This window comes from Homo sapiens, chromosome 3 (genome assembly GCF_000001405.40).
Source record: "Homo sapiens chromosome 3, GRCh38.p14 Primary Assembly".
Lineage (NCBI taxonomy): Eukaryota > Metazoa > Chordata > Mammalia > Primates > Hominidae > Homo > Homo sapiens.
In genome coordinates this window covers 184,745,780-184,756,334 of record NC_000003.12, presented here as the reverse complement: position 1 = coordinate 184,756,334, position 10,555 = coordinate 184,745,780, and the positions used below count along the sequence as shown (strand labels likewise).

Here is a 10,555-nt window from a genome sequence, read left to right as displayed (position 1 = left end):
GGTGTTCTTATAAGGCTGGAGGTGGAGGGTGGGGTGGGGCAGGGTGCTGGCCCTGAGCTGCTCCACCTACCAGCCCCACTCCAGAGTGGCTCTAAGACAGAGGATGGGCCCCGGTGGCTGACCAGGGCCATGAAGCCTGCCAGCCTGAAAGGGGGGATTAAGGCTCACCTCTTCCCATGGGGAAACTGAAGTGCAGGAAGTGGGGGAGGAACTTTTCCAAGGTTACCCAGCTGCCTATGGCTGTGCCAGATCAGAAGCGTACACTTTGGCTCTCAGCAAAGTAACCTTCCTGCTTCTTACTACTGGCTAGAAGCAGGTGAATTTTACCACTTCATTTGAGCATCTCCAGCGACTTTGGGGGATCAGAGATGAGACTCTTCCCTTCTCCTCCAGCCCAGCCTTCAGGGAGCACTGCCCTGACTCTAACCACTTTGGGATGCCCTCCAGCCCTTCCTGGCCCACACACAGGGCCCTGCTTCCCCTTTAGGAAAAGGCGAAGTGTGAAGGAGCTACTAGTAGATTTTCCAGCCTCTGGAAAGTGTGACTTCTGGGCTTCTCTTGGATTAGGAAATGGCTCATGAAAGTCCAAGGCTTCCTCCACATGAGAGCAGGATGGGGCAGGTCATGAGCTCCAGAGCCCGCCCCAGACCCAGCTCTATTCCTCCCATGTCAGGCAAGGATGAGCCAGCCCTGGGAGCCCAAACACTCCCAAAGCCTTCACGCTTCTCCAGATGCAACCTGCAGCTTGTTTTGAGGAGATCCGCAGCACATGGCACGTGTTCTGTGACTGCTGTCACGCCCCTCTGCTGCAGGAAGCTGACCAACAGAACGCCTCCTGCCACTGGAGAGTGTAGGCTGACTGTGTGTGCTGATGGCCATCTCAGGAGGCAGGGCAGCCCGTGGTCACAGCCAGGGGCTTTGGAATGAGCCACACCTGTCCTGGTGCTACCACTCGCCAGCTGTGTGACCCAGGGCAAGATGCCTGGCCTCTCTGAGCCTAGTTTTCTCATCTGTAAAATAAGAGTTTCTACCTCATAGGGTTTTTTGGTTTTTGTTTTTGTTATTTTTTTTTGAGACAGAGTCTCGCTCTGTCGCCCAGCCTGGAGTGCAATGGTGTGATCTCAGCTCACTGCAACCTCCGCCTCCTGGGTTTAAGCGATTCTCCCACTTCAGTCTCCTGAGTAGCTGGGATTACAGGCTCTCGACATCATGCCTGGCTAATTTTTTATTTTATTTTTAGTAGAGACAGGGTTTCACCATGTTGGCCAGGCTGGTCTTGAACTCCTGACCTCAGGTGATCCACCTGCCTCGGCCTCCCAGAGTGCTGGGATTACAGGTGTGAGCCACTGCGCCCGGCCTCCTCATAGGGTTCTCCTTCTTCTCCCACCACCTCCTTCTCCCACCACCTTCTTCTCCCAATACCTTCTTCTCCCACCACCACTTTCTCCCACCACCTTCTTCTCCCACCATCTTCTTCTCCCACCACCTTCTTCTCCTACCACCTTCTCCCACCACCTTCTTCTCCCACCACCTTCTCCCACCACCTTCTTCTCCCACCACCTTCTTCTCCCACCACCTTCTTCTCCCACCATCTTCTTCTCCCACCACCTTCTTCTCCCACCACCTTCTTCTCCTACCACCTTCTCCCACCACCTTCTTCTCCTACCACCTTCTCCCACCACCTTCTTCTCCCACCATCTTCTTCTCCCACCACCTTCTTCTCCTACCACCTTCTCCCACCACCTTCTTCTCCCACCATCTTCTTCTCCCACCACCTTCTTCTCCCACCACCTTCTCCCACCACCTTCTCCCAACACCTTCTTCTCCCACCACCTTCTCCCATCACCTTCTCCCACCACCTTCTCCCACCACCTTCTTCTCCTACCACCTTCTCCCACCACCTTCTTCTCCCACCATCTTCTTCTCCCATCACCTTCTTCTCCCACCACCTTCTCCCACCACCTTCTCCCACCACCTTCTCCCACCACCTTCTCCCAACACCTTCTTCTCCCACCACCTCCTTCTCCCACCACCTTCTTCTTCCACCACCTTCTCCCATCACCTTCTCCCACCACCTTCTCCCACCACCTTCTTCTCCTACCACCTTCTCCCACCACCTTCTTCTCCCACCATCTTCTTCTCCCATCACCTTCTTCTCCCACCACCTTCTCCCACCACCTTCTCCCACCACCTTCTCCCACCACCTTCTCCCAACACCTTCTTCTCCCACCACCTTCTCCCATCACTTTCTTCTCCCACCACCTTCTCCCACCACCTTCTCCCACCACCTTCTCCCACCACCTTCTCCCAACACCTTCTTCTCCCACCACCTTCTCCCATCACCTTCTTCTCCCACCACCTTCTCCCACCACCTTCTCCCACCACCTTCTCCCACCACCTTCTCCCACCACCTTCTCCCAACACCTTCTTCTCCCACCACCTTCTCCCATCACCTTCTTCTCCCACCACCTTCTCCCATCACTTTCTTCTCCCACCACCTTCTCCCACCACCTTCTCCCACCACCTTCTCCCACCACCTTCTCCCAACACCTTCTTCTCCCACCACCTTCTCCCATCACCTTCTTCTCCCACCACCTTCTCCCACCACCTTCTTCTCCCACCACCTTCTTCTCCCACCACCTTCTTCTCCCACCACACCTTCTTCTCCCATCACCTTCTCCCATCACCTTCTTCTCCTACCACCTTCTCCCAACACCTTCTTCTCCCACCACCTTCTCCCAACACCTTCTTCTCCCACCACCTCCTTCTCCCATCACCTTCTTCTCCCACCACCTTCTCCCACCACCTTCTCCCACCACCTTCTCCCACCACCTTCTCCCACCACCTTCTCCCAACACCTTCTTCTCCCACCACCTTCTCCCATCACCTTCTTCTCCCACCACCTTCTCCCACCACCTTCTCCCACCACCTTCTCCCATCACCTTCTTCTCCCACCACCTTCTCCCATCACTTTCTTCTCCCACCACCTTCTGCCACCACCTTCTGCCACCACCTTCTCCTACCACCTTCTCCCAACACCTTCTTCTCCCACCACCTTCTTCTCCCACCACCTTCTCCCACCACCTTCTCCCACCACCTTCTTCTCCCACCACCTTCTTCTCCCACCACCTTCTTCTCCCACCACCTTCTTCTCCCATCACCTTCTCCCATCACCTTCTTCTCCTACCACCTTCTCCCAACACCTTCTTCTCCCACCACCTTCTCCCATCACCTTCTTCTCCTACCACCTTCTCCCAACACCTTCTTCTCCCACCACCTTCTCCCAACACCTTCTTCTCCCATCACCTTCTTCTCCCACCACCTTCTTCTCTCACCACCTTCTCCTTCTCCCACCCCCCTCCCCATCTAGTCTCCACACTTGCACCAGAGGAAACATTCTAAAACACAAACATTATCATGCCACTTCCTAGCCTTTACTCCTTTCTGGCTCCCTATTGTGTTCAGGATAAAGCCCAAGCTCCTTGACACAGCCTTAGAAGGCATTTTGGGATCTGGCTTCTGCTTATCTCTCAAGCCTCATCTCTTATCTTCTTGCAGCCCAGCCTTCCAACAAGGTTGGCATATTCATGTTTGCACTCACCTCCAGGCCCCCACCTGGGCTGCTTCCTGACCCAGCTACTCACTGCCTCTCCTCTTAGCGTAGAAGCTGCTTCCTCCACAACACTTCCGTTCCCGTTGCTGAGGATTCAAAGAGAAGGGCCTACGGGGGTCCCAGTCCCAGGAGATTGTGCCTGAGAGGTCAGAGCAGGAAGGACCCCTGAGATCATCTAGGTCAACCTCTCCTTTGGCAGAGGAGAAAACCCAGGCCCCCGAGGGAGGGGGTTTCCTCCAGCTTCCACCCAACCCCTCTCCACAATTAGCACAAGAGGGAAGCCAATCAGTAGGCCTCCTAGGCACCACAGGCCATTCATCCAAATACATTTGCATTTAATCTCCTCTCCCAGGGAGAATAAATACAGAGGAAAGAATTGGAGGCCCAAAGGAATCAACTGCAAACTCCAGGAATAGACTCCAGGTTTGCCTGTCATTGGGGGCAGGGCTATCTTACAGCTTCCCTCAACCATCCCTGGAGAGGTCACTCTTTTGTTTTTTTTAGACGGTGTCTCGCTCTGTCTCCCAGGCTGGAGTGCAATGGCATGATCTTGACTCACTGCAACCTCCGCCTCCCGGGCTCAAGCCATTCTCGTGCCTCAGCCTCCAGGGTAGCTGGGACTGCAGGCGCTCACCACCACACCTGGCTGATTTTTGTATTTTTAGTAGAGACAGGGTTTCACCAATGTTGGCCAGGCTGGTCTCGAACTCCTGACCTCAAGTGATCCACCCGCCTTGGACTCCCAAAGTGCTGGGATTATAGGCATGAGCCACCACGCCCAGCTGAGAGGGTCACTCTTTTTATCTCTTCATGAGATACTGTCCTGCCTCCTCTGCCAAGGGAGCTGGACCTGTGACCCTGGGACTAGGGCAATGAAGGGGCCTTCTGGGGAGCTGCTGACTTACAGGACAGTCAAGTGAGATCCAGTCCAGGCCACCACCGGCCTGTGGAAAGCACACAGGCCTGGAGTCAGAATACTTGTGTTCAACTTCCACTTCCTAGCTGAGCGAATGGGCAAGTCACTTGACCTCCCTGAACCTCAGTGTCCTCAACTGTAAAATGGAGGTAAAGATAGTTTCCTCCTCACCAGGCTGGCATGCAGTCATGTGATAGAGGAGAGAGTGTCCCCTAAACAGTTCAGCTTTCAAACATGCATTCTCCTTAATGAGACAGGACGAACCCCGGGAGTTTCAGATCAGGAAGCAGCCCCCCTCTGCTCTTGCTCACACTTTGTGCCTAATCTGCTGTGGACCGAAAAGTGCTGGGCTTATAAATATTTGTTCCTTATGGCCAGACTTTCATGAGTTTTATCAGCCTAGCTGATAAGATAATCCTGGCCTGTTGGGTGAGCTCTGGCACCTGGTCTTCTGCATCGCAGGTGACCTCTCAGACCTAATTTTTTAATACCTAGCAAGTCAATACAGAGGCTCTCAACTTACAGGCTGGAGAGGAGGGGCATCTGAGGGGGCCTCCGAAATTAATTCTCTTTGTTTCTGGATCTGATGTCTAGAGTTGACCGGAGACTCCGAGTTAACACCTTTCATGCCAGATGGTGACTGGGTCTCCACTGGCTCCACTGAGCTCAGAACCAAAATGGTTTTGAAAAGACTTGAATTGAGCACACTTCTCCTTTAATTAAGTGCGAAATCTCCATATCTATTTCAGCCTTTGAAAACCAAAACCCAGGAAGGCAGGTTCCCCGGGCAGAGAGAAGAGGTGTGCAGAATTAATATTCCATCTCGACTTTTCCTGTGTAACTTAATAAGTTGCCTAAGCTTATCAGGGACCCTGGCTGCATTTAGCCACGGGGCCGGCCTGGATCACACGAGGCCGCGTCACCTTCCCAGTTGACAAAGCTCACATTAGCACGGTTGACCAGCCAGAAGGGCCACGAGGCAATGCAAAGCGAGCCAGGGTTAAGGTGAAAAGCTGGGACCCGTCTCACCTTGATGAGTAGCACGTTACCATTTGGTAACATGTCCCTTCTCTCTCAGATGTTTTCGCTGGATCCTCCCAGAGTGCCCCCCACCCACCCTCCATGCAGCCTGAACTGTACCTGCTTTCCTGGGTGCTGACTTTGGGGCCTCCGATTGGCCCCAACTGCCTTCCACTTCTCCCAGGCTCATTTTTTCTAGAACTATTCTGGGACTGCCCCAGCTCTGTACGTCCAAGAGGACAGGCAAGCGCCTGGACTAGCTCCATCCTGACCGGCAGCAGCCTCTCCCCCAACTTCAGCCCCTCCTCTGCATCCAGAGGCCAAGCCCAGGCTTGCTTCTCTCTGGAGCTGCAGGCTCTCAAGGACTCTTGTTTCCCAAAAGGAAAGGTCCCATAGAAAATCAGAGGATCCTTGCAAGGGAATCCTTAGAACCAGTGTGGGAAAGGCTCCCCTGGGCATTCACCTCTTTCGGAACATCCGCTGAGCTGAGGATTCTCTCCAGAAGAGGCACCTGGTCAGGGGAGGGGAGGAAATACCAAAATGGAATTTTCCCCATAATAACAGAATTCTAGAGCCAGAAGAGATTTCAGACACCAACTAATCCAATCCTGCTTTTTAACAGACGGATAGACGGAGGTTCCAGGAGGGAGAATGGTCTTTCTAACAAGTTCTAATAACTAAGGCAGGACAAGTGGGGCTTTAGCTCAGGACATGAAAAAAATACAGAGAGAAGAATGAGAGAAAGATGAGAGAGATGCAGAACCCCTCTGTTACAGGAGTTGGCCCACATGCTCGAATCACAGAGAAAGTGGGACGTCTTGGTCCTCTGCGACATGCCCCCTGCTCTAGGACACCTCTGTGGTCTTGGTAGAGTGTCTGTCCCTTTGAACGCCCGAACAGGCACCATCCGTGTGCTCCTGCCAGCGAGGGGTGATGTGTCCCGCTAGAGGGGTCAGAGGCAAGGGCTCTGGGGTCCGGCAGACTTGGGTCAAATCTTGGCTCCGCTACTCGGTTGTGTCTGTGAGACTCAACCAAGTTATTGAATATTCTTTGTGCCTCGGTTTCACCATTTTAAGGATGGGGATAATAGAAATCACTTCATATGGTCCATAAATGCAATAATGTGTGTAACATGCCTGACATATATTACACCTGAACATAAGCTCCACGAAGGCAGACACTTTATTTCCTGCCATTTCCTCAGCATCTAGAACATGCTGTATATATAGAATGAATGGATGCAGCATATGTTCATCAATTATTTTCCTTAATGGTTATTGTTATCATTATCATTATTACTGCCCAGAATATCTTTTTCTTTCTGTCTTTTTTCTTTCTTTTTCTTTTTCCTTCTTTCTCTTTTTCTTTTCTTCCTTTCTTCTTTCTTTCTTTTCTTTCCTTCTTTCTTTCCTTCTTTCTCTTTCCTTCTTTTTCCTTTCTGCCCTCCTTCTTCTTTCTTTCTCTCCCTCTCCTTATTTTTTCTTTCTTTCTCTCTTCCTTTTTCTTTATTCCTTTCTCTCTCTCTCTCTCTCTTTCTTTCCTTTTTCTTTTTCTTTTCTTTTTTTTTTTTTTGAGACAGGGTCTCTCTGTGTTGCCCAGGCTGGAGTGTAGTGGCATGATCACACAGCTCACTGCAGCCTCAATCTCCTGGATTCAAGCAATCCTCCTGCCTCAGCCTCCCAAATAGCAGGGAACACAGGCACATGCTACCATGTCCAGCTAATTTTTTTATTTTTTGTAGAGATAGGGATCTCATTTTGTTGCCCAGGCTGGTCTTAAACTCCTGGGCTCAAGCTGTCCTCCCGCCTCAGCCTGCCAAAGTGCTGGGACTACAGGCATGAGCCACTGCTCCTGGCCCCAGCGTATTTTCTGGTTCTACTTCATCCACCTTTTCTTTCTTACCCTGGACTCCTTTCTGTTGAAGCCAATTTTGCTCACACAGTACTTACTACTTGCATCAGTGTGTGCATGTGCACCCCAGCAGCCACACATATTCACACCTGCGCATCCCTAAGCTGCTGTTTCTGACTCTCAACTTGTCTCTTCTCACCTGCAGGGGGAGAGGGAGAACCATGAGGCTGAGTCCCAGCCCTTGCTTTCCTACCCAGCCCCTTTTCCATCCAGTGTTCATATTGCTGCCGCTTCATGTACTTTACACTCCTGGCTACCCTTCTCTAGCATGCTTTGTGCTGCCTAATAAGTCGAGGGTGGTTAGAAAAAAAATCCCACCACTGTTTCTTCCTTTCCAAAGAAGGCTGTCCACTTACTTCTGTTTTGACTGATTCAAAACTGACTGATGTAATTCCCTTCTGCTTTGACAAATGGGGACCTCAGCAAAGAAGGAAATAGAGCCAGAGTGAAAAGAGAAGGGGTCAGGGGCTTTCTGGAGATTTATGAAGTTCCCATTCGAGCACAGGCAGCTGGACAGCTCTCCTCCTTGTGCAGGCCTTGAGTTTCAGAAAAACACAAGACTCTGAGACGCGCCTTCACTTGAGTCATTTGGGTGGAGTTGGTGTGTTTATCTGTGCTATCTTCCCATTTTCCTCTCCTTCTAGAGTTGAGAACAGTGAGTGGTGAGCGGCAATGTCTGCTTTCTTCTATTCTTGGGGTCCAGGACACTGGGGCAAGATGTAGAGAGATCATCCTTCAGTTCTCAAATCCCATTCTAACCCCCTTTCCCCACCCCCGGGTTTAGAGTTTTAATTTACTCTGTATTAATGACAATCTGGAGGGGAAAATGTGTAGGAAATTGATAGACTAGATCAGCCATGGTGGCTCAAGCCTGTAATCCCAGCACTTTGAGAGGCTGAGGCGGGTGGATCACCTGAGGTCAGAAGTTTGAGACCAACCTGGCCAACATGGTGAAACCCCATCTCTACTAAAAATACAAAATTAGCCGGGAGTGGTGGCACGTGCCTATAGTCCCAGCTACTCGGGAGGCTGAGGCAGAAGAATCACTTGAACCTGGGAGGCAGAGTTACAGTGAGCCGAGATCGTGCCATTGCACTCCAGCCTGGGCGACAAGAGCAAAACTTTGTCTTGAAAAAAAAAAAAAAGAAATTGATAGACTAGATTGTAATACAGCATGAATAACTCAACCATGCAAATTAACACAGGCTCACAAGCCTAGGCCTGAAAGAATCAGACCACTTATTTGCTTCTATTATTAAATAAGAATTTGCTTAATAATAGAAAATAATAATAATTTAAAATAAGGCCTATGGCCTTGTAACACCAGTGGTCTGCCAGAGACTGGATTGGTGTGACCTGAAGATACACTGTAAAGTGAAATATTCAATCAGACAAACCTTAGGAGTTTGCTTGTGTGCCTCCTTAACGTACACAGCCAAAAAACAGATTCTATTCACTTTCTCTTTTTTTTGAGACCAAGTGTCACTCTGCCACCTAGGCTGGAGTGTAGTGGCGCAATCTCCCCTCACTGCAACCTCCGCCTCCCAGGTTCAAGCAATTCTCCTGCCTCAGCCTCTAGAGTAGCTGGGATTATAAGCATGCACAGCCACGCCCAGCTAATTTTTATATTTTTAGTAGAGACGGGGTTTCACCATGTTGGCCAGGCTGATCTTGAACTCCTGACCTCAGGTGATCCAACCGCCTCAGCTTCCCAAAGGGCTGGGATTACAGGCATGAACCACCGCACCCGGCCTCATCTTCTTTTTAAATACTTCACTGAAAAAAGGTCTCAGTGTACTAAATTAATGGAAATGTTGGCTCTGTGCAGATAAGTGGTTTCCATCCTTTGGAGGCTGGCCTCCTTCTGTTTGTCTGAGCTCAGGTCTCAATGGGCATGGTGCCTGATGCCGAGTTAAGTGTCCAGCAGCCCCTGCCCCAGCCAAGCAGGGAGGCCGGGTGAGGTGGTCCCCCTAGTGGGGCACCAATGGGCTAAGGTAGGTGGCAGGAATGTCTCTTACCATGATCACAGGCCCTTTGAAGGGAGGGAAGAACCTACTGAGTTGAGAGTAGGTGTGTGCATCGAGTTCAGCAAATCGACAAAGCAGGTTCCAGTGCATTACTGGAGTAGGAGAATCTGAAGTTGCATCAAGGCCAGAGTGTGGAGCCAGGGAGTCATACAGCTGAGGACATTCTCCCCTGGCCTGGCCCTTATGCCCTAGACGCATGCCCTGCCTGTGGCCAGAAGAGCTGCGCACAAGGCACTGCCTGCTCATCCGTTCAGTGTCCATGGCTCTGTTCTGCCCCAGATACGGGCTCCCTCTTGGCCCCAGGCGCTCTCCAGTACATCCTTCCTGGCTTGTCCTACCTAGACTTGGGCACTGGTTCTATCTCTGCTTCATGACTGTCTTGGAAATCCCATTAGTCTCAGCCATCAAGAATTGCCCCTCTCCCCAGGTGCCAAAACCTACCTTGGTCCCTGCAGCTGCACCTGACTCAGGGGCCTGGAACACCATAGCATTCCAGACTCCTGGCCTGGGGGGTGGAATGGGGAGGTGGCGTGAAGAAGGGGTGGGAACTAGAAAATAAGAGACTGGGTTGAAGTGGACAAGGAGGAGAACAATTTGCGTGGGTATTACAAAGACAGCTAAAAATATTCTCCCTGGGTGCTCGGGGTGGGGAGTGGGCTGAGTGCTTTACAGGCCCCGCGGTAGCAAGATTGCAACATTCAATTCATTTCCAGTACCCCTGGGGATAAACTGAGAACCCCTGCTGTCAACCCCAATGATGTGGCCTCAGCCTGATTCTTTGGCTTTCAGGTATGACCTCTAAGGAATGACAGAAGGGTTGTTTAAGTGGAGAAAAATGTTTTCAAACTCCAAGCAGTGTGCTAAAGCACTTTTTTTGTCCATTCTACTTTTGCTCCAAGAATGTCTTCTTTTTTACTTCTGGAGGTCTTGATGCTGACAGCAAGCACCTGGCTTTTTCTGATCTGAAAGTCCTGTTTGTCGCCTCACAATGGGCCTTGCTTCTATTTTATGATATCCTCTATTTCACACCCTCAACACTTGTCAGCAGAGGATATAGGAAACAATCAG

The 10,555-nt window shown here is 51.0% G+C and overlaps 1 annotated feature.

Annotated features, from left to right (window-relative positions):
• Nucleotides 9,665-10,166: an enhancer, noted in NCBI's record as "H3K4me1 hESC enhancer chr3:184463957-184464458 (GRCh37/hg19 assembly coordinates)". NCBI's record gives its function as "activates a minimal SCP1, AML or CMV promoter by ChIP-STARR-seq in primed H9 embryonic stem cells {active_cell/tissue: H9 hESC(primed)}" and the evidence as "EXISTENCE:reporter gene assay evidence [ECO:0000049][PMID:30033119]".